Raw genomic sequence first — 23,067 nt, 5'->3', positions numbered from 1 at the left:
TGCTACTTTCATATGAATATTTCCACATAAATTAACACATTCAATATAAATCTTATAAATTTTGTATGAAATTTCATAAAAATTAATCTATTAATACAAATCTAACCCGATGTTTCTCTGAATGGAAACTTTTTGGCATGTATATATCAAGTGGCCTTGAAAACTCATTGATTAATATTCTAAATTAGGTTGCTCTTTAAGAAAACTCAATAAAACATTAAAAGTAATATATCTGATTTTTTTTCTCATAGATGTGAAGTTTTTTTGTTTTAATTCTCAAACTAACAAAGGCTACCTAAAAATTCAATAGGGTACTTTCAGGTACATTTGTAATATTCAACAGATGTATTTGTTTCTGCTTTCTCTAAAGTCTCAGTAAAAATTATATTAATAAAAACATTTAATAGAATAAAAAATGATTGGGAGCAACTAGGCATAGATGAGAAATGTCTACAAAGTTTGGACTATGTTCAGTAACTTAGGCCATAGTTCCCTGGACGCTAAAGCATCAGAGACCCTATGCACCACAGACTCTATGGTGGCTCCCATCATCCCCGTGTTCTGGTCTTCAAGCTCTTGTGTGATCTCCTCTCTTTGAATGTGGATAGGACTTGTGATTTGCCTCTAATCAATACAATACAGCAAAGGTAATGGTATATGCATGATTACATGAATGGAATGGAATGTGCCTAAGATTATAATAACTGTCTGCCAGAGGGGACTCTTTTCATGGCTGGCTTTGAGAAAGCAAGGTGCCATGTCGGGAAAGTCCTTACAGCAAGAAACTGAGGGCTACCTCTGGCTAGTAGCCATCAAGAAACTCAGGCCCTCAGTTGATGGCCCACAAGGAAGTGAATGCTGCCAGCAACCATGTGAGCCTAGAAGCAGATCCTTCCCCAGATGAGCCTCAGAGGAGATGAGAGCCACAGCCAACACCTTCACTGCAGCCTTGTGAGTCTCTGAAGCGTAGCACCTACCCAAGCCATGCCTACACTCCTGGCATACAGAAATTATGAGATAACAAATGTGCATTGTTTTAAACCACAAAGCTTAAGGTAATTTGTTATTTAGCAATAAAAAACTAATACCGTATGGGTTCAATATGGGGGAAAACTGGGGAATTAGTAGAAAATATATACAAGGAGCCCCTTGAACAACCAAACGGCAACCCTGTATGTCTACTGAAGATTGGAAGTTTATTGCCTGGCATTACTGAACCAAAAGGAGCCTGAATTCAGAGTAAGAGTCTCTAGGCAAGGCTAAGGGAGGACGTGCTTTACTAAAGACAGAGGAATTAATTGAAATTCTGAATAACAGACTTGCTTTTGAGAGGTGACAGCGTGCTGGCAGTCGTCACAGCCCTCGCTCGCTCTCGGCGCCTCCTCTGCCGGGGCTCCCACTTTGGTGGCACTTGAGGAGCACTTCAGCCCACCGCTGCACTGTGGGAGCCCCTTGCTGGGCTGGCCAAGGCCGGAGCCGGCTCCCTCAGCTTGCAGGGAGGTGTGGGAGGGAGGGGCGCGGGCGGGAACCGGGGCTGCGCGCGGCGCTTGCGGGCCAGCTGGAGTTCCGGGTAGGCGTGGGCTTGGCGGGCTCCGCACTCGGAGCAGCCGGCAGGCCCTGCCGGCCCGGGGCAATGAGGGGCTTAGCACCCGGGCCAGCGGCTGCGGAGGGTGTACTGGGCCCCCCAGCAGTGCCAGCCCACCGGCGCTGCGCTCGATTTCTCGCCGGGCCTTAGCTGCCTTCCCGCGGGGCAGGGCTCGGGACCTGCAGCCCGCCATGCCTGAGCCTCCCACCCTCTCCGTGGGCTCCTGTGCGGCCGGAGCCTCCCCGATGAGCGCCGCCCCCTGCTTCACGGCGCCCAGTCCCATCGACCACTGAGGACGACTCGCTGAGGAGTGCGGGCGCAGAGCATGGGACTGGCAGGCAGCTCTACCTGCAGCCCCGGTGTGGGATCCACCGGGTGAAGCCAGCTGGGCTCCTGAGTCTGGTGGGGACGTGGAGAACCTTTATGTCTAGCTCAGGGATTGTAAATACACCAATAGGCACTCTGTATCTAGCTCAGGGTTTGTGAATGCACCAATCGACACTCTGTATCTAGCTACTCTGGTGGGGCCTTGGAGAACGTTTGTGTGGACACTCCGTATCTAGCTAATCTGGTGGGGATGTGGAGAACCTTTGTGTCTAGCTCAGGGATTGTAAACGCACCAATCAGCACCCTGTCAAAACAGACCACTGGGCTCTACCAATCAGCAGGATGTGGGTGGGGGCCAGATAAGAGAATAAAAGCAGGCTGCCCAAGCCAGCAGTGGCAGCCCGCTCGGTCACGCTGTGGAAGCTTTGTTCTTCTGTTCTGTGCAATAAATCTTGCTACCGCTCACTCTTTGGGTCCGCACTGCTTATGTGAGCTGTAACACTCACCGCGAACATCTGCAGCTTCACTCCTGAAGCCAGCGAGACCAGGAGCCCACCGGGAGGAACTAACAACTCCAGACGCGCTGCCTTAGGAGCTGTAACACTCACCTTGAGGTTCTGCAGCTTCACTCCTGAGCCAGCGAGACCCCGAACCCACCAGAAGAAAGAAACTCCGAACACATCCGAACGCCAGAAGGAACAAACTCCAGAGGCGCCACCTTAACAGCTGTAACACTCACTGCGAGGGTCCACGGCTTCGTTCTTGAAGTCAGTGAGACCAAGAACCCACCAAGTCCGGACACAGTTTGACATCTCCTAATTGACTTCAATATCCTCGACAATCAGGCTTAAGGCACCCAAGAAGAAAATTGGAGAATTTCTCTTTGAAAAAACTGACCTGCTTCATAATAAAGACCTACAAATATTGAGATTAAGAAGAAATAAATAACTTCTGCCTGAACATCCAGTGATGTCCACTGATCCCAGACACAGAAATTCCCTTCGCTTATTTAGTACCTCAGTCTTGCATGCTGTTAGACACTTAAGGACTACTAGATATTTAGAAAAGTCTCCAATAAAAGTAAGAGATCAGGCCGGGCCCGATGGCTCACACCTGAATCCCAGCACTTTGGGGGGCTGAGGCAGGCGGATCACCTGAGGCCAGGAGTTCGAGACCAGCCTGGCCAAGATGGTGAAACCCCATCTCCACTAAACATACAAAGAAATTAGCTGGGTGTGGTGGCACGTGCTTGTAATCCCAGCTACTTGGGAGGCTGAGGCAGGAGAATCGCTTGACTTGAACCTGGGAGGTGGAGGTTGCAGTGAGCCGAGATTTTGTCACTGCACTTCACCCTGGGCAACACAGCAGAACTCCGTCTCAAAAAAAAAAAAAAAAAGATCAAAACAAGTACACATAAGATGAAGTTCAAATTAGAATTGATCGTAAAAATGAAAGAAAGACTTAAAATATTCTTATAATTCATAATCTCAGGTGTGGGGAAAGAAAATAGTATATCACTTAAACAAAAAGAGTAAACTATAAAAAAGATCACAACAAGAAATAATCCTTGAAAATTAAAATTATAAGAAAATAAAAAAACAAATTCTATAAAATGGGTGGAGGAAAAACTTGAGAAATTTCCTAGGTAATAAAATCTAAAGAGGAAGAGATAAAAGAAAAAGTATAATAATAGTAGAATATCAACCCAAGAGCACTAATATTTCACTAAAAGGAATGCTAGAAAAAAGACATTAGAATAAAGATACGAGGAAAATTAGGAAATAAGTATAAAAAAATTTCTCAGAAGCTAAGGGTGTGAGTTTCCTGTTTAAAGCTTCACATTGAATGCCCCATGGAAAGGACAAAAATAGACTTAAAAGACACCTCACTGCAGAATTTCAGAATTGTAGGAATAAATACAAGATTCTGAAAGTCTCCAGATAGAAAAGTTAGGCCTCAGACACAGGATCAGAAATCAAAATCATATTGTGTTTTTTAACAATTATGTCATCTGGCAGAAAGTGCAACTAAAATTCAGAGGAAATCTGATAACAGATCTCAACTTTTGTATTCAGTCCAACTATACTTCAGGTACATAAGAACAATAAAACTCTTTCCAGCCAAATTACTGAAAACTGTTCTCTCTCTTTTGCTCTCTCCCATGTAACTTGTCTTTGTTAACAAAACTCTCTTAAGCAAATTTATGTGCTTACAACTAAATGTCTCTGAGTTACCTTTGATATCATTTACTAGCTAGAGAATACTGGTACCTCCACTTTTGTGTAAACCTCAATGTTTTAAATCTACATTTGAAGTTACTGATTTCTTTTAAGTTAATATTTTACTCTTTATTTTAGAACATATTTCCTCTTTTTGGAACTGCACAACTTCCTTTTTCTTAGCCTCCCCCAAAATGTCGTTAATTTTTTAGTACACTGTACTGTCTGTTCCGCATCTTTGACATTTTAATGCTGTTAACACTTAATCTCTTATTGTGCTGTCATCAGTAATCACCAGGGCCATTCAGAAAGATCAGACCTTGGTAGCAGGAATAAACTATCCCTGAAGAGGAGGTGAGATGAGTTCATACGTAGCAAAAATTAAAAACAGGTTTCAAAATTATGAAACTTATCTCCATGTAAGGTAAATTAACTGCCTGATAGTCTTTAAATGAAGACAACCAACATAACATGCTTTAAGCGAAGACCACAACATCAAGGCATCTGTAAACATAAATCATAATATCCAGCATCTAATCAGGAATTATTCAACATGCCAAGAAACAGAAGATATGAACAATAACAAGTAACTGTGTAAATTTTTAAAAAGTACCATGAAGTGACAGAAATGAAGAAACAAACATACAAAGATGTTAAAACACTTTTATGACTGCATTTAGTATTGGCTATGTAAGCACATTCTTCTTTTCAAACTAAATATAAAAAAAACCTTCCTTTTCAAAAACTTAATGACACAAACCACTACTGAAAACATATACATAAATAAACATGAAGCCCCTCCATTAAGAGAAATATACTTCTGTGCAATTATTGTCTTTATCTTCACCTCCAGGATCTCACAATTATGTGTCTGTGTCTAAGTCAGATTTGGATATGACCTGTGGTCCATCAATACACATGTAAATTTTAATTTAAGCACGTCTAACACAGAGAGAAAATATAATAGGATAACCTTTGTTAAAAAAAAATATAACATATAGGCCAGGCACGGTGGCTCAACGCCTGTAATCCCAGCACTTTGGGAGTCCGAGGCGGGTGGATCACGATGTCAGGAGATCGAGACCATCCTGGCTGACATGGTGAAAACCTGTCTCTATTAAAAATACAAAAAATTAGCCAGGCGTGGTGGCGGGCACCTGTAATCCCAGCTGCTCGGGAGGCTGAGGCAGGAGAATGGCGTGAACCTGGGAGGCGGAGCTTGCAGTGAGCTGAGATCGCGCCACTGCACTCCAGGCTGGGCGACAGAGGGAGACTCCGTCTAAACTATTAAAATATATATATATATATATATATATATCGCATATGAAAGAACTGTGTAAAAATAAACATTAGTGATTTTGAATTCATTAACTAAGTCTTTGCGCTGTACATAACAAGGACTCGTTGCCCTGATGCTGCAAAGCCAGTCCTTGATAACCCAACCTGGGGATGATATTGGTGAAAATGATGGAGTAGATCTGCTTTCACCTCTTCTATTCAGCATCATGCTGGAGTTTCTTGCCAAGGGAATAAAACAAGAATACGAAAGGAAGAAGTGAAACTGTCTTTATTTGCAGATAACATGATCTTGCATATCATGTCATCCTAAAACATTCACAACAGCAATAAAAATTAGAGGTAATAAACAAGTTCAGCAAGATTACAGGATAAAAATCAATATAAAATAGTAATAGTGCTTTTACAGACTAGCAATGAACAATCCAAAAATGAAATTTAGAAAAATCTTTGTTTACAATAACATCAAAAATAATAAAATAAAGAATAAGTTTAATAACAGAAGTGTAAGAGTTATTCTGTGAACAATGCAAACCATTTCTGAAATAGATTAAGGAATATCTAAATAAAGGAGAGATTCTGTATTTATGGATTGAAAAAATGAATATTACTCAGTTTGCACTATTCCCAAAATTGATCTGCTGAATCCCAGCTGCCTTTTTCATGGCAGAAATTGACATACTTACCCTAATTTTTTAACACTCTTTTAATACTCTACATGCTAGTAATTTTTTTACTTTTATATGACTAGATCATCAGTCATATTTTTCTTTTTTGAGACGGAGTCTTGCACTGTCTCCAGGGCTGGAGTGCAATGGCGCGACCTCAGCTCACTGCAACCTCTGCCTCCTAAGTTCAACCCATTCTTCTGCCTCAGCCTCCCAGGTAGCTGGGATTACAGGCGTACGCCACCACGCCCGACTAATTTTTTATATTTTTAGCAGATATGGGATTTCACTATGTTGGCCAGGCTGGTCTCGAGCTCCTGACTTCATGATCCGCCCGTCTCGGCCTCCCAAAGTGCTGGGATTACAGGCATGAGCCAGGGCACCCGGCCCATCAGTCATATTTTTCATATGAATAAAAGTCTACTTTTTAGTGAAAAATGATTATTCTCATTCTGGAAAACTGTTATAGCCTAATTATAACATTCAGCATAGCATAACTGATTTGGTAATTCAACACATAATTACTGAGCGGCTGTTATGTTTCACACAAAACTAAGTGATGAAAATAAAAATAATAAAATGTGAGTCTTACCCTCAAAATCTAGACAGCATAGTTGAATTATGGCATGGACTTAGAACTCAGTTATCACTCTTAAAATGTACTGGTTATGCCTTTGGGAGGCTGAGGCGGGCAGATCACGAGGTCAGGAGATCGAGACCACCGTGAAACTCGTCTCTACTAAAAATACAAAATATTAGCCGGGCGTGGTGGCGGGCGCCTGTAGTCCCAGCTACTCGGGAGGCTGAGGCAGGAGAATGGCATGAACCCGGGAGGCAGAGCTTGCAGTGAGCCGAGATCGCGCCACTGCACTCCAGCCTGGGTGACAGAGTGAGACTCCGTCTCAAAAAAAAAAAAATTATTGGTTATGCAACCACCTGCAGATAATAAAACCTCTAAAAGTCAGTTTTTCATGTATGTAGTAGGTATTGTCTAGTCACATACAAACAGTTGGAACAGCCCAGAAAAGGGAGAGAGTGTCATGCAGTCTTAAGAGACAGAGGTCGGTGCTCAAGCCTCATCCAGGGTCAGAAGTTGGTCTTTATAGGAGGGATCCCTAAATGCCACAAAGCCAGGATCTGTTCTCTAGTTATTTAATTAACCTAAGTTAAATTTCTTGGATGAGGGGTAGGGATGGGGTGACTGCAGTTTAGATTAATTCTGCAGAATGCACTTGAGTGGGTATTGAAAAAACCAGTTTTTCCATATGCAGATTTCCAGTTAATCTACTAGTCATAAGCTAATGGATCCTGCCATTTTTCATATCTGACATTTCTATGTCCTATGACGGTTTCACAGGTAGCTAGGCTCTCCTCCATTATTTCCCTCTGTATGGTGTTGGCTGCATTTTTCTCTGATTTTACTTCTTCATCAATGATCACATCTCCATCTACTCTCCATTTTCCAGGAATTAGTTGAAATTTTTCATCAACTAATAGGACCCTGAGCCTTTGTGTTATTGTTTTAGACTAACAAATTTTTATTCACTTAATTCAATTTTAGTGGAATTTTAGAAGAAATAGGAGATAAAATCTATGTTTGCTATGTTGTATTCGATAGTAAATTTCTGAACACCTCATTTTAAAATTAGATTTTTTTCTTTTATGTCATTACCTTGAATTATTTTAACAGAGTTATTTCTGTTTCTTAAATATATATTTTTTAGTTCAGAAGTCCTCTGCATAATTCATGTTTTACCTCAGTTTAATGTTAATATTATAAAGCATACAGGAAAGCAAATAGCTTTCAGAATTTTTAAGGTATTATCTAGACAATACAATGCATTTAGAGAGGAGGATAAAAGACATAGGGCCCCTTTCTGTAACTTTCGTAATAAAATCCCTTCTTTTTCTTGTTCTGTTTCCCAAATAGCTATCCTACTTTGGAGAAGATGCTGGAAATTCAGAGTTTCCGCCAGAGAATATATGCCTGAACTAAAAGAGGAAGTGGTCTATAGGAGAAAATGGTGAGATATCTTCTGTGGTATTAATAAAAGTTAAAAGCATTTCAAGTTTAGGCAGAAAACTAACTGAAAAACGAGAACCTACTGTATGGTTAGTAATTTCTTCCATGTCATACAAGTATTCGAGAAATCTGCTACCTTGATTAGTAAGACTGAACACATTGGTTTTGTCATTTATTCATGGAGGAAGTCCACCACCCACTTGGGGAGCAGAAGGAAATTTGCCATCTCAATTTACTTATCAGAAGTTTCTTTGCAGAAATATGATTGTCCCTTCAGTGGGACATCATTTGTGGTCTTCTCTCTCTTTTTGATCTGTGCAATGGCTGGAGATGTAGTCTACGCTGACATCAAAACTGTTCGGACTTCCCCGTTAGAACTCGCGTTTCCACTTCAGAGATCTGGTAAGCTGGATTTAGGGTGCCTTTGAGAATTAAGATTTTACTAGTTATCTCCTTTATTTCTTTCTTATGTATCTAATTGCCAAACTGAAAAGAGGAGATTGGATTCAAAGCAAAATTCATTGAATGCTAAGAATAAGAGCGAATGTTTTTAATGAAGCAAAATGTCTGTTCATAAAATAAATTGCCACTTTGGTTTTAATATGTAGAACTTTGCTTCTGTTTTCATAGCCTTTCTATTTCTTGATTTCTCGTGATGAATGTTTATATTCACACAGCAACTTCTAGCGGGATCACGCCTTTCTGCTCCACAGCTTTGCTCACTCTCAATCAAATCTGACCTTTTAACATAATGTGATAAATTCATCTCCACTGGGAAAAATACCTGTGGCAATTTACTCATATTGTTATTTATTCTTTTACAATATCAATAGGATAAAAATGTAAACTTAAGAAAACATGAAACGTTAGATTTAATTTTATAAAGTCTAGAATTAATGACTAGGTAATTGAATATTTCTGGAATCAGAGGCGATAAGCATATGCCTAAACTTAACATGGTGCCTTCATCACCAAACCCCCTCAAAAATTATAGATTTTCATAGCCAGTGTCTTTTCTATTCTTTGAAGTATTAAGGAAATTTCTCTGTCTTGTTACATTTCCATTCTCTGCTCTAGGGTAAGAATTTTTGTAGCATAGAGTTTATGTAGGTGTTTTAAATAATTTAAAGTTCCTCCTTTGTATTTGCCCTTGTGGAATGAATCTGCTACTTTGTTCGTATTTCCAAGGAATGTATTTCTTCTTTATATTTTCAAAAGTTTATAGTTATCAAAGGAATCTAGTGTGTGTCCTTTTCTGGTTGTAAAAGCATCTTGTTTCTTATTTTAAACCTTACCTCTCTATTTTACCCAGCAGAGGCTAACTTGCTTTCTTTTCTTCCAGCTTAGGCACTTTCACTTCCTATGAAATAGTGAAACATAATTTGAAAAATAACATGGACTAGAACTGCACTGTCATTCCCCTATGCTTCAAAAATGTCCTGTAGTTAGTTTCTTTTTCTAGAGGTTATTTTACTCAGTTTAAGCAACAAAACCAATATTTTTGATTCCGCATTCCAGGGTTTAATTGCCTTTCTGTCTATGGTTTGAACTTTTATAAATAAAACCTTATTCTTTTCCCAGTTTAGGGATGTGGGGCAACATCTTTTAATGTGATCTAGTTCAATCTTAGAATGCTAAAAATGAGAAAACGAACTATATGAAGATTAAATTACCTACCTATAGTCATGCTTATGACCAGAAGTCAAATATCATATTGTTCTTGTGCTGTATACGTGTGGTGTTAGATAAACGCAACTTTTGTTCTCATGCGTCACTTCGCCATCAAGCGAAAGAGCTGTTGGATAGATTAGATTTTTGTTGTCTTACATACAGAGTCCTACACAATTGTTCCTGATCTCTTCTAACCTCATACCTTTCACTGATTTTGCTCTGGCTATTGGCCTTTTCTTTTCTCCTAAAGGTTGTCATATTCCTTACCATTTCAGAGCCTCATAAAATGCTGAATCTTTCTACATAATCTATTAATCTTTGTGTTTCTAGCACCTCACACCGTACTAAATATAGAGCAGGAAATTAATAGATGCTTGATAAGTAAAATAATTTATAAATGGCTGAATAAATAAATGAATCGCATTAGACGATGAATGTATATATGTATGCTCATTGGTTCTCCAAGATGTAAAGCATAAAGGAATGTCATCAGGAAGCTTAGCAGGACATCAGTGAGAGTGTGTGTTTGAACTGAGAATATCCCAGAAATTTATGCTTTGCTTAAATCTTACTTAGGAGGCCTAAAAGAATGATCAATATCTTTTATGTTAGTCTTTTTATGAAATCTGAAATTTTATTCTACTAAACTTAGGGATCCATAATTTCAGTTCGTCATATTAGTAACATGTGTAGTGGCCAGGCACAATGGCTGACGCCTGTAATCCCAACACTTTGGGATGCCGAGGAAGGAGGATCGCTTGAGCCCATGAGATTGGTACCAGCCTGGACAACACAGAGAGACCTCATGCCTACCAAAAATTTTAAAAACGAGCATGGTGACACGTGCCTGTATTCACAGCTACTCAGGAGGCTGAGGCAGTAAGATTGCTTGAACCTGGGAGGTGGAGGTTGCAGTGAGCAGTGATCATGCCACTGCACTCTAGCCTGGGCAACAGAACAAAAGCCTATCCAAAAAAAAAAGAAAAGAAAAAAAGAAAGAAAAAGAAACGTGTAGTGACATCACCACATTCTTTCTGTGACTGACTTGACTCCCACAATTTTGACTGTTTTGTCTGATGAGTGAAAATATGTGGACTTCTTTTAATGTTTTGAAAATTAACAAATTCCTATTAAAGATGTTTTAATTAATAGCAATAATAATCAGCACATAAAACAATGCACTCAATAATAATCTACCAAATAAACATTCCATTTAGTCTTGATATGATTATATTTCAATATCAGCTATTTTCAGTACTTTCTCAGTGTATTGTGTGTTTAGGTCACATATCTAGTGGAAACAATGTACTGTAACTTTTATGTACCAGAGACTGTTGTTTTAAACTTTCAGCCTAAAGCTAAAAGTACAACTTCTTTTATTTGGTTTATTTATTATCTTTTGAGTACTTCAAATGCAATGAGAAGTGTGGATACCGAAGGCAGCACTAGTCTGGTAGTCAAGAGACCTGAGGTTAGATATCAGCTCTGCTCTCAAGTAACTGTGTGACTGTGAACTTGAATATCCCCATTTTAACACGTGGGTATTGCGTTAAAATAATCTCTAACATTTCTTTTATGTTTAAATGTATGGTTTTATGGAATTACAATGCTATATCACAGGAAATGGATACATTATATAAGAGGAGAAACAGAAAAGATCAGCTCAAATAAATGGGTGTTGTCAATAAGCTTATTAGAGAATCTTGAGGGTTTCACAGTCTTATATAAAAACCCAGAGACACAGACAGTGATCATAAGTAAGATCAATACTGGGGAATATAAACAGTGAAACCAAAAGGAAAAATTCATATTTATTCAAACCAGAGAATACTCGCATATGTGTGTTTTGTGTGGAAAAAAAAAAAGAAGCTGGGTCTACATATTTCGAAGGAAAGTAACTCAGGAACATGATAGGTGAGAAAGTTTATTTGGCCCTCTCCTACCTCTCACCATCTAAGGAGCTACCTGCTGGGTTTACTAGTGAAATCTATTCAATTTTGTAGATTCTCACCACCATGGAATTGTTCTTAACGTTGGATGTGCAATAATATTATCCTTCTGGTAATAGTAATTGTACTGAATATTTTGGGTAAGTAATTAGTAATATTATTTATTCATCTCAGGGTATTATTTTTCTCCTAACTTGTTGTAACTGTGTTTGCTATTTAAATGGTTCCTAAACAATATGGTACAACTTCACAAAAAGTGTAAAATTTGATACACAACTAAAATTAGAGATTTTCTATAGAATTTCACCATGTGATAAAATATACATTATAAATTCATCTCAATGATAAAGAAAAGAGATGGCAAGATTAGTTGCTTATTTTATGATCAAGATCATGCAGTGAATTGCCTGGTGCAGTTTGATGTTGGGATATACACAGATGTCTCTGAAACCATGTTCAGAAGGAAGCAAATTAAATTATGACTTGTGTTTCTGTGTATGCTTATTCATATCTGCTACTCCTAAGTATCATCAATCTTGTGTCAACAGGTGAGAAATTTGTCTAAAATAAATCAATTCCATTGAGCATTATAAATTTATACTAATGTACTTTGGACATAGCCAAACATAGTCCAATTTTTCATATGGCCATTATTTTAATGTTTTATTGAATAAACGCTTGGGGAAAAGTTCCTTACAAATATCTGTAGAACAGAGATGATATACAGATTATATATATTCCAAGTAATTCAGGCTTCCAGATTAAACTAAACCCTAGAAAAGTCAATGCAGTGTCTATGTCACTGAATCTTAGAGAATTATGTTAGTAATTATGAATGGCATTATCTATTACAAATAAATAAGCAGAGTTGTAGAACTTTAGAACTAGAAGGGACTCCAGAAATCAGCAAAGTCTAGTTTAGATGAGCAGTCTGAAGCCCAGAGGGATAAGTGGTTTAACTACTTTAATGTAACTAGCCAATGGCATAATTAGGGCTATAAAATGGGGTTGGGGGAGCAATAATAATTAGCATTAAAAATCCCTACTATACTACTTTTCATTATGTTTTAGAAGGCAATAGATTTTCTTGTTACTAAAATAGTTTTTTAGTAAAATAGATTTTTTTGCTACTAAAATTGATGTGTTACTAATAGATTTCAAAGATAAAATGTCTTCTTAAAAAGTTTCTCTAGAAGGCAACGATGTTCACGGATACTCTAGAGACCCAGGACCTGTTTTCAAATCCCAGCTACATCACTAATAAAATTCTTGCATTGGATGCACTATATTATGATGTATATATGTTGAAGGATTAAAAGTATGATGTATCAACATAAGAATTAGAGATTATATATTTAATACATTAAATGAATTAAATATATTCTGAATATGGTATCTTGTGTTAATGCCTGGCAAATGACAAGCACTATTAAATATTTACTTTTATTACTTTCAGATGTGTTTATGTGGTTTTAGATGGTCAATACTAATAACCTAATATACATTGTTCTGAGACTATAAATTATCAAAGATAATTTCAGTTAAATGGCCAGCAGAAAGACAAATATTTTCTTCGTTGCAGAAAAAAACTACTCTGGGCTAACTCTATCTCATATATGCAGCATTTATATGCAGAATCTCAAAGGAACAAATCATTAACCAAAACCAAAACATACAAAACATCAACCAGGTGACACCTGATATAATTAATAGGAACTCACTAAACACAAATGATCTAAATATGAGTCATATCCAGAGCTGGACATTTTGTCCTTATTAAAGTAATTATGACAGCTCCAGGAAAAAATTCAAGTGCTTATTCTTCTGGTCATATTTTTTCCAATTCTTTTAAAGTTAACATTGCTAAGGTTAATAAGAGTGCAAAAGAGACTCTAAATCTAGGAAAGAGTAGTTATGTTTTTCTCTTAAATTTTTAATCATTTAACTTTTGATATGGAATTTCCATATCATTGGACTTCATGGAATAACTACAGACTAATGGTTTTGGGCTTTGTATCTAATTAGAAAAACATGTTTCTTCTTTCATTAGTTGTCTAGTTCAACACTGCATGACATACTATTCATTATCCAATACTAAATTGTATAATGAGCCAAAAGAGAAAAACTGTACTGGGGAAAATAAATCTGGAACAATCACCTCAGTAGGTAATATTAGTTTGTATTGCCAAATTCCTGAGTAACCAAGCATGAATAGTAGCCTTGATTTTCTTTGACGATATCTGAATAGAGGAGAAACTTCTCTATCACAATAGACAGATGGTTTAGATCATTGCTTTTCATGGACTCATTACAATTCTGATAAAAATATTAACATGTAAAGGGCCAAGGCAAAATGAGACAAATGAGCTTATACAATGAGTTTTAAATGAATTTAAAAGTATTTCATTGAAATAATTGTATTTTATTTTGTTTTTTATTGGGGTATGTGCAAGCACAGGTTGGGGTTAAAATTTCTTTCCTCTTAAAATTCATGGTCATTGCAGATGGTTTTTCAATTTTTTAACGTTATTACATATTTAAAAATGTAAATGCTAATTTTGTTAGTCTTTCTTTTGCTCTCTCGTATGAATGTATTTGCATATTTTAAAAGTCAGTAGATGGCCTTTGAATTTTCTTAGGTTATTTGATTTTAATTTTTTAATTTACATTTTAATTCTGTATTAAAATATTATATATCTTTTTATAACATCCAGAAACAATTATATTAGAATGACTTACCATGTCCAAATTATAAACTAGATTCAAATTCTGGGGATTAATTAAGATTTTACATTGGTGTTTAAAGTCTTTGGGAACTTTGATGTTCCCAAGCTCCCTCAACCACAATCTAAAGACTATCTCGTACAATGTAAGTTAATATTTTTCTTAACTTTGTGAGACATTATCCCCAAAGCAAAAACACTTTCTTGTAATCCTTATACCTGTGACACAGGGAGACAATAAATAAAGCTCTGGCTTTAAATGCTTCCAAATCTGTTTTCTTACCCTTATTCTATTGTTATAGAGGTGTAAGTTACCTCTCCTAAGGTTCTACTTTCAATTGATTAGGAAAGTACACCAAATCTAAATGAGTTTATCTTAAAATAACAAAATGGACTTAAAATATGTAAAGTAAAACGTAGTTGATCTATTCAACCACCATTCCAAATTCTTTCTCTAATTTCTCTTTGTTTCCTTCTGGGACTCAAATTAGATGTGCAGTGGGCCTTTGCTTTCTAGCCCCCATTTCACCTAACTTCACATTTTGTCCCTGTCAATTTGTGCTGAATTCTTAGCAATATTTTCAGATATATCTTTAAATTCACTAATTATCCCTTTTCCTGCTGCTTTCCTCATCTGCTCTCATTCACTGAGTTTTTAATTTCAGTGATAACAGTTTTTGATTCTAGGGATGTATTTTCAAACTTATTGGCTTTTGATGTTTTTTGTTGTTGTGATGTGATGTTTTTATTTCTTCTTTTATTTCTTAAAACCATTTAAACATTATTTTTTATAATACATAGGATTATTTAAATATCTAAAGTCCTTGGTGACCAAATTCATTCTTTGTATTTCCTATTGATATGTTGGCTTGTTTCCTGAAATATTTGATGATTTTTAAAAATTTGGTTGACCTCAATAACGGGATTCATAAGGAAAAATTAAAGATTGTTTCTTCCAGAGATTAACTGCATTTTCATCTGTAAGAGGGCAGGGTGTAGCTAATGATTTGGATGTCTTGAAGCCCTTTTTAAGGTTTCAGACTGATGAAAGGCTCACTGATTTATCCCATCACCTTTCAGTAAACCAAGAGCTTATTCTTAGAATCTCAGCACCAATATATAGATTATTACCATGAAGGGCCACCTTGCCCTTTGAATTCATTTACCAAATGCTGCTCCCCATTCTGCTTCTAACTAAGTGCCTTCCTTTAGTGATTTCCTCATTTCTTACAAAGAAAGCAATATGTTTAACCTAATTATCTCAGGTTATAATGGTCTTGTAGTGAAAACATCTTCAAAGAAACAACAGTGTTGTTTCTCCTAAAGTTGTTTCTTTGCATGCCCTGACACGTTTTATGCATTGAAGTTCCTGAGCTATACAAATCCAAGTTGCTATTTGACAGACTATAAATAAACTATTATTTATCTATCTTGTTCTACTTTAGAAATCTATTTTTTTATATTCTATGATATCAAAATGGGTGTGAAACACTGCTTCCAGGTATCTAGTCTATCAGAGAAGTGAAACTGTAGTTTTTATAGTTTTCATTAAATGTGTCCTAAAATTTTTCAGCTACATAGTTGCTCTATCTTTCGCAATAATTATACACTTACTCAGAAAGGGTTTGATTTAGGTGCATTATATCAGTCTGAGAAAGAACTTTATAAGCTAGGCAACAGTATGAACTTAATTTGTAAGCAAGACCAAATGTTTTTTGAAGATATGTTGATTACCTTATACTTTTATGCTTATCCAGATGTTTGCCATTTTTTATGTTCTCCCTTGAATAATATTCAAGTTCTCATTTAGAAACATTGCGCATCAGCCTGAAAAACTTCCTTTAACATTAGCTATAGTGATTATCTGTTGTCAAGGGGTTCTTTTCATTTTCTGAAAATGCCTTAAATTTGCCACAATTTTTGGAAGATTTTTCACTGGATATAGAATACTTTGTTGACAGTTACTTTTTCCTTTGACAATTTAAAGATATCTTTTACTGTATTCTAGCCCCCATAGTTTATAATGAGGATGAGGGATTTTTGTATAATTGTTTTCTTGCAGGTAATGCACAAAAACTGTTTTCAAGATTTTTATCTTTGGCTTTTAAGTTTGACTAACTTATTCATACATATGAATTTCTTAATATTTACCTGCTTAGGCTTTGCTGAGCTTCTTGAAAGTGTAAATTTATGGATTTAAGCAATTTGGAAAAAATTTCAATTATTGTATCTTCAACTTGTTTTGCCCTAATCTTTCTCTTCTCTTAAGTTTTGGGACTTCAATTCTAAATATGTCATATGTTTCAATATTATTCCACAAGTCCTTGAGGATCTGAAAATTATCCAACATTTTTCTTCATATTGGACAATTTCAAGTTCGCTAACTTGTTTTCCTGTTAAATCTTGCCTTTAAGTATGTCCAGAGATGGTTTTTATATAAAATGTTTTACTATATTTCTCAATTCTAAATTTCATTTGGCTTTTTTCCTACTGTCCTTCTTTGCTGAGGTATCCTATTTTTTCATCGTTTGAAAGCATATTTTCTATTATGTCATTAAGCACAGTTACAACAGCTGCTTTAAAATATTTGCCTGATACTTCTAACTTCCACATCATCCTTATATTGAGCTGCATTGATTGTCCTTTTCCTTTAGAATTGGTCATATTTTTCTGGTTTTTCATGTAAGGCATTTGAGATTATATACTATACATTGTGAAAGTTATATGGAGAAGTCTGTGTTTTCTCACATATTCCTCCAAAAAAAGTGAAAGTGTTTATTTTCCTTTCTTTTTTTTTCTTTTTCTTTTTCTTTTTTTTTTTTTCATGGAGTTGCTTTGTCACCCTGGCTGGAGTGCAGTGTGACATGATCTGGGCTCATTGCAACCTTTACCTCCCAGACTCAAGCAAGTCTCTTGCCTCAGCCTCCCGAGTAGCTGGGGTTACAGGCACACACCACCATGACTGGCTAATTTTTTTTTATTTTTTGTAGAAATGGGATTTTGCCGTGTTGGCCAGATTGGTCTCAAACTGACCTCAAGCAATCTGCTTGCCTCAGCCTCCCATAGTGTTGGGATCACAGACGTGAGCCATTGCACCTGGCCAATTTTCCTTCCTTAGCAAGCAATTGGTGTAGTTGGACTTAAATTTAAATCTCTATCTTTGGGGCAGCAGGTCAAGTCTCAGTTCGGTTGTCTTGTTCTTACCATAACCTGGCTTGTGCTTGCATCAGTCAGAGATTTGGGGAAAAAAATTGTACACACAAGTTAGAGCACCCCCTCTATGTTTTTGATTTTATGGAATTGATTCTTCATTTTCAGCATCTGTGGTTTCTCTTAACTCTGTTCTCTGGTTATTCAGGTGAGAAAGGCTGCAGGTTTTTTAATGATGTTTTACTCACTCTACATGGGACTACAATTGGCCTAAGGCTAACAATTGTAAAAATGATAAACTTTTGCCCTGCCATACCTTCTTTGAAGTGTCATCTCCCCTCTAGAATCTGTCTGGCTTTGTTCACTCTTCAATGGCTTCAGGTCATGTGTGTGCGTGCGTGTGTGTGTGTGTGTGTCTGTCTGTCTCTGTGTGTAAAGAATATTTATTTACAGGAATACTAAATTATTGGTATATCTAGAATACCCTGTATCATCATCTAAATTTGCTGGGAAATATTATAAATTAGAACTAGCTGTTAAGAGCACATTTTTAGATGTCAAGATCGTTTTGTGTGATAATAGAGATGAACCTATTTGATTTTGGGGGACTGCCTATAGCACAAATTTTGCTTGTGAATAACTATACTAGTGTGATATAAACTCCCAACATTTCTGATGTGTTAGTAGACAACTAATTAAAATTTCTAATTTCTATTCTTCCTTTAAAGTTTTTAGTTCCTTGAAGCTTGGATGTTCATTGTTTTATCCTAGTGTCTGGTGCATTTCCTGGCTTATAGAAAACATGATATATTTTTAAAAGGATAAATTAAATGGAAAAAGGATGGATGAGTGAATGAATTAATGAATATACACATGACTTCAATTCTTTTAATTTTTTTTCAAATGTACCCTGGAACAAAGCACATACTTTTTTCAAAGAAAGCTTAGCACATAATATAACCAAATTTGAGACCCTTCAATTAGTATACATTATTAGGATACAGTTTTACATTGATTTTAATTGCTTATCTTCCTTTCTTCCAGTTTCTTTCAACTTTTCTACTGTCCATAAATCATGTCCTGCCAAAGACTGGAAGGTGCATAAGGGAAAATGTTACTGGATTGCTGAAACTAAGAAATCTTGGAACAAAAGTCAAAATGACTGTGCCATAAACAATTCATATCTCATGGTGATTCAAGACATTACTGCTATGGTGAGATTTAACATTTAGAGGTGACAGCATCCCCCACACTGGCAGTGAATTTTTTGTGCTACAAACTTGGCAAAAGTCTGTGAAAAGAAGTTTCAACTTCATGTGTTATTAACTATACAAATATTAGTTGAATGAATTGTTGAATTACATGATTACCTTTGAGGTTTTTTTTTTTTCCGGCTAGGAGGAGGGGAAATTCATTTTATGTTTTATACCAAGCTCTTCTCTCCAAGGGACCATTGCTTCTTAGCAGATTTCATTTTAAAACTTAAGAAATTGAGTATATGATCTCAGCACACATGTTTATTGCAATGCTCATAAAGGCTGTAGCCAGGTATCACAGCAGCTGAAATTAAGGAAGATTTTGTGAGAAAGGGAAGGCAGAACAGTATCTCTTACTTAGATTTAGTATTTCCAGAGGATAGCTAACATTTAGCTAACTCTGCCTTAATTTAAATTGAAGTTTTGCTGAATGGAGGTTGGACACTATTTTAAACCTTCTCAGTGATAAGGTCAATGTACATGTTAAATTACAAATATTAAATAAGGGTTCTCATGGGGCTCAGTATGTTAGAATCACAAGCTATGTCAGTAGCTCAGTTTCTGCAAACCCTGTGGCTAGCAGTGCTTTACAAACCTGGTTGAACATGCGCCATCTGAAAGAACTTAGAAAAGGGCAGCTGTTGAGACATCTGAGGGAAAAAGTCCCTCTTGAGTGTCACAGAAATCCACACCAAGAAAAACTAAAAGAGAAGTAAACTATTAATATCTTCAGTGAAACTAGTGTTACCCCAAATGTCAAACTGTAAGGCTCTGTCAGGCGCAGCAAACTATGAGCCAAATCAAGGATGGAATTAGGAATTGATAAGAGACCTTTGTTTGTTCTTCTAGAGCAAATTTTAATGAACAAGAAAGAGGAAGCAGGGAGTAACTAAAAAGCATCTAAAAAGAGTGTTGTCTAAAGAATCAACAATAAATAATAGCTTGGAGCCATTGCGCAATGAATGACTTCACTAAGAATCTCATATATCTCCTGCTCACAGTCAAAGGGAAAAATGTGAAAATGCAGAAAAACATGTCTCTCAGCAAACAGTAAACCAGATTTAGGAGAACGGTGATCTAAGACAACACATTTTAACGGAAACTTACTTCCTCCAGTTTAAGCTTTACCTCTTCACATCATTCCTAAGTAAATATATGAGTCAGACACAATTGTTCCCTTTCAAGAATAAACAAGACTCTAAAAGGAATTAGTGTATGATTTATGCATAAGCATGTCCCTTTCTAAACATCTCCCAAAAAAGAAAAGTAAAAAACAGATAAAATATGTTACAGAAGAACATTTACTCCAATAAATATAAAATCATTTTCTAGCGATTATTCTCAAGTTCTCAAGTAAGTTAAAGTTAAAATGGAAAAAAAAAAGGATTATTAGTCCATCTAGGGTATCCAAGTGTCATCATATGGCAAATAAAATAAGAAGTATGAAGGAAAAAGGAGAAGGAGGGCAGAGGGGCAGGGAAAGAGGCATAAAAAGAAGTAAGGGAGATGTGTGGCTTTCATTTCCATGTTGCAGATATCTCAAAGAAATGCTGCTACCCCTTCTATAATGGAAAATAGCCAAATTAACTTCTCAACATTTTCAAATCCATTGAAGAATGAACTCTGTAGAACAACCAGCTGGCCAAAATCTATGGTGACAGGCACATGCGAGAGAGAGGAAACACATCCTTGCTTATTTAGGATAGACAAATCCAACACCAGATACCAGTAAGAATTCAGCCAGGATAATTGAAAGATGGATTAGGGATAAGTGTAGGGTGGCAGAACAGTGTGAAGCTCCTGGGGTCTGCAGAAATTAGAAAATCCCACCACCTCTCCCAGGCTATTTCTCTACAAACTCCACCAGACTCTCACAGAAATGACTGGAGAGAAGCAGAAATTCTTCATGTCCATTGTGATGCAGACCTGGAGAGAGAAAACAGTGATAATACAGAGGTGGCGGCTGGGCGCGGTGGCTCACACCTGTAATCCCAGCACTTGGGGGGCCAACGTGGTCAGATGACCTGAGGTCGGGAGTTCGAGACCAGCCTGACCAACATGGAGAAACCCCGTCTCTACTAAAAAATACAAAATTAGCCGGGTGTGGTGGTGATGCCTGTAATCCCAGCTACTCGGGAGGCTAAGGCAGGAGAATCGCTTGAACCTGGGAGGCGGAGGTTGCAGTGAGCCATAATCGCAGCCACCGCACTCCAGCCTGGGCAACAAGAGCGAAACTCCATCTCAAAAAAAAAAAAAAAAATACAGAGGTGGCATGAAATTCCACAGAGTACCTTCTCCCCTATCTGCTATCTACACAATAAACTAAAAGACCTACTGTGTGTGCTGGGGAGAAGGGCAACAAACATCTCTGCCCTTAGGGAACTGGGGGAACATCGTTGCAGGTGGGAGAAAGTGCCAAGACACAAAATCTGCTCCTGTAAGAGGGGCAGGAATACACACTGGACCAACGACTATATCCAGGGTAGGGGCAGAGACCTGAGCAGGCCAGGCACTAACATTACAGGCACTCACTCAGTGCCTAAGACTGAGTCATAGTGAGAACAGCCATCACCCCTTCCACTCACTGCCTTGCACTACCAAGATAACATTTTCAGAAAAGGAGTAAAAGAGAATGCTGCTGGAAGAGAGACAGAAGAGAAATAAGAATGTGCCAAGTAATCTTCTCCAAGGCACTGTGAAAATGGAAACTAAAATGCCCAGGATGAAGAAGACATTTTTCTGGCAAACAAATCTCCAGATTAAACACCAGCTGTCATTACAGGAATTTAAAGTGTGTGAAACAATGAGGATAATCACAGCAAGAACAAATCACAAACCCAAACCAACTCTTTTTAGTTTGGTTGTATTTTTAGAGACAGGATCTCACTCTTTCTCACCCAGGCTGTCTGCAGTGATGTGATTATAGCCCACTTGAACTCCTGGGCTCAAGGGATCCACCCCTCCAGCCTCCAGAAGGCCATGCACCACCACGCTCTGCTTATTTATTTATTTAGAGATGGGCATCTTGCTATGTTGCCCAGGCTGTTCTCTTTCTTTTTGTTTTGTTTTTGTTTTTGAGACAAAGTCTCGCTCTTTCGCCCAGGCTGGAGTGCAGTGATGCAATCTCGGCTCACTGCAAGCTCCACTTCCCGGGTTCACGCCATTCTCCTGCCTCAGCCTCCCCAGTAGCTGGGACTACAGGCGCCCGCCACCACGCCCAGCTAATTTTTTGTATTTTTAGTAGAGACGGGGTTTCTCCATGTTAGCCAGGATGGTCTCGATCTCCTGACCTTGTGATCTGCCCGCCTCAGCCTCCCAAAGTACTGGGATTACAAGCGTGAGCCAACACGCCCAGCCTAGGCTGTTCTCAAACTCCTGGTCTCAAGGGTTCCTCCCACGGCACCCTCATGAACAGTTGCTATTACAGGCATGAGCCACCGCACCTGGCTCTAACTCTTAATGATTAACTCAAAGCCCACATTAAAGACCTAGGAGAAGGACCTGTGTGCACATTTCCAAGTACAAAAGCATTTTAACTCAATTCCCACTGTCCTACACAAGATGAAGATGTACAACTTTCAACAAACATGTAAGAGGTATATGAAAAGACACACACAAAAAAACCCAAGACACTCTTGAGAACAAGGAGGGACATTCCATAATAATAAAGGAGTTGTATTAATATGCTAGGGCTGTTTCAATAAAGTATCACAGACTAGGTAGCTAAAGCAACAGAAACTTATTTTTCACAGCTAAAGCCTAGAAGTCCAAGATCAAGGTTGTTGGCAGGTTTGGTTTCTTCTGAGGCATCTCTCCTTGGTTTTCAGCTGATCACCTTTTTGCTGTACCTTCAAATGGCATTTCTTCAATGTGTGTACATCTCTGATGTCTCTGTGTATCCAAATTTCTTCTTGTAAGGACATTATCAGATTGGATTAGGGCCCACCGCAATGGCCTCACTGTAAGTTAATTACATCTTTAAAGGTTGTGTCTCCATATACAGTCACATTCTGAGATAGTGGCGATTAGGACTTCAAAATATGAATTTTGGAGTAGTACAATTCAGCCCATAATATTCCACTCTCTGGGCCCCACAGCCCATAACAAGGGTCAATTATAAACGTGCATGCACCAAGGGAAAGACTGCAGAACTGAAAGGGGAAATGGACAAACTCACAAATGTAGCTGGAGATGTAAACA

The 23,067-nt window shown here is 37.5% G+C and overlaps 1 protein-coding gene across 13 annotated transcripts in view, besides 3 other annotated features; it reads left to right on the top strand.

Annotated features, from left to right (window-relative positions):
* Positions 778-1,030: a transcriptional cis regulatory region, noted in NCBI's record as "candidate enhancer chr12.520 targeted for multiplex CRISPR interference". NCBI's record gives its function as "positively regulates KLRF1 gene expression with high confidence in K562 cells {active_cell/tissue: K562}" and the evidence as "EXISTENCE:mutant phenotype evidence [ECO:0000015][PMID:30612741]".
* The window catches only part of CLECL1 (C-type lectin like 1), a 32,165-nt gene continuing 16,220 nt past the window's right edge, over positions 7,123-23,067 (top strand). For 2 of the 13 annotated variants that reach the window (NM_001441811.1, NM_001441812.1), the window contains exons 1-3: positions 8,372-8,520; positions 11,793-11,878; positions 18,656-18,825. In NM_001441811.1, the coding sequence (NP_001428740.1) occupies positions 11,827-11,878; positions 18,656-18,825 (222 nt within the window). In that variant the 5' untranslated portion in view covers positions 8,372-8,520; positions 11,793-11,826. The other 11 variants (NM_001441809.1, NM_001441816.1, NM_001441814.1 and 8 more) reach the window with 10 other exon arrangements.
* Positions 10,580-10,639: a silencer, noted in NCBI's record as "silent region_4234". NCBI's record gives its function as "represses an Ori minimal core promoter by ATAC-STARR-seq in GM12878 lymphoblastoid cells {active_cell/tissue: GM12878}" and the evidence as "EXISTENCE:reporter gene assay evidence [ECO:0000049][PMID:35858748]".
* Positions 21,336-21,425: a silencer, noted in NCBI's record as "silent region_4233". NCBI's record gives its function as "represses an Ori minimal core promoter by ATAC-STARR-seq in GM12878 lymphoblastoid cells {active_cell/tissue: GM12878}" and the evidence as "EXISTENCE:reporter gene assay evidence [ECO:0000049][PMID:35858748]".

The sequence above is a fragment of the Homo sapiens genome, chromosome 12 (genome assembly GCF_000001405.40).
Source record: "Homo sapiens chromosome 12, GRCh38.p14 Primary Assembly".
Classification (NCBI taxonomy): Eukaryota; Metazoa; Chordata; class Mammalia; order Primates; family Hominidae; genus Homo; species Homo sapiens.
This window is presented reverse-complemented; position numbering and strand designations above follow the sequence as displayed.